The sequence below is a fragment of the Homo sapiens genome, chromosome 18 (assembly GCF_000001405.40).
Source record: "Homo sapiens chromosome 18, GRCh38.p14 Primary Assembly".
Taxonomy (NCBI): Eukaryota; Metazoa; Chordata; class Mammalia; order Primates; family Hominidae; genus Homo; species Homo sapiens.
Genome location: NC_000018.10, coordinates 74,011,650 through 74,012,793, shown reverse-complemented (window position 1 = coordinate 74,012,793; position 1,144 = coordinate 74,011,650). Strand labels below are relative to the sequence as shown.

General features: G+C 50.0%; 1 annotated feature.

Moving 5' to 3' along the window:
- Positions 377–546: an enhancer, noted in NCBI's record as "experimental_50059 CRE fragment used in MPRA reporter constructs". NCBI's record gives its function as "activates a minimal promoter by MPRAs in K562 erythroleukemia cells, with activity observed for both the introgressed and non-introgressed 18:71679568 variant alleles {active_cell/tissue: K562}" and the evidence as "EXISTENCE:reporter gene assay evidence [ECO:0000049][PMID:34662402]".

Here is a 1,144-nt window from a genome sequence, read left to right as displayed (position 1 = left end):
GGCCCCTTTGTTCTTTTTGAAGATTTCACAACAACTTGCTTTTGGAATGATTGTGCAACTTTAGAATACCGTGTTCTCCTTATTGTTAACCCGATTGTAAAGCCGAATAGAAAACAAGAAGAGAGACCATCATTTGCTGTGCACCGCCCTGTGTCAACACTTTCAGATCCCGCAAACATCTCATTTATCCTCACAGCAGTCTTGGGACACAAGAGGCAACTGAAGGTCACTGAATGGCAGAAGTCCTGCGTGACACTCAAGGTATCTGAGCCCCAAGTCCAGCTCTGTCTTCCAGTTTCCCCTAGAGCTGTAATTGATCACTTAGCAACCGAAGTCTTTCTTAGATGTCTATTCGTTCTCAAGCCTGTGCCACAAATGCTGTCGATGAGGCCGGAAGAAAGGGCGCTCTGCTGTCTCCCCAGGCCCAGGCCCAGGCCTCTGCTCAGAGGGTTCATGCCATAGCAAGCACCTAATCTAAGCCGCGGTCCTTCTCCAGGTAACCGAGCCGCCACTCAGTATCAGGTGTGTGAGTCGAGCTCTTTGGTGATACTTCAGGACTCAGCACAGCAGTGGGGGTCCCTTGACACTAGGGGCACAACCTGTACCCCGCGAACTAGGAAAATACTTTTCTCTCATTGCGAGTGTGGGGTTTGCTGTCTCTGAAGGAGACATGCTGACCTTAGGAGTTAACTCATAAAGGGTCTGTGGAAACTGTTCATCCGTGAAAATACAGAAAAGGAAAGTTCCATGAAGGATCAGCATTTGGAGATTCCCCCAGGATAGAAACCCATCCATCCATCCCTCTCCTGTCCCCTCGCTCTGCCCCACCCCTGCAGGGCACTGAGACTGACAGCTGCGGGCATCAAGTGATGCGATACCCTCAGTGTCCAGAGGGAGGGGTCCCTGGATTGGGACCTTCCCAAGGAAATGGGTTGAGTTTCCTCAGTGGAGAACTGAAGTTCTTGGGCTTAACAACTAGGTAACAGAGGTCTCCAAGAGCAGGTGAGCCATCTTGGTAGTGTGTGTCTGTGTCCCTAAATAAGTGTCCCTTTCTTATGAGGGCCAAGTGTCGCTTCTCATTGTACTTTGCCTTTGAAATTACCTTTATCCTCAGGGACAAGGTCTGCCTCTCCCAGCACAGTTT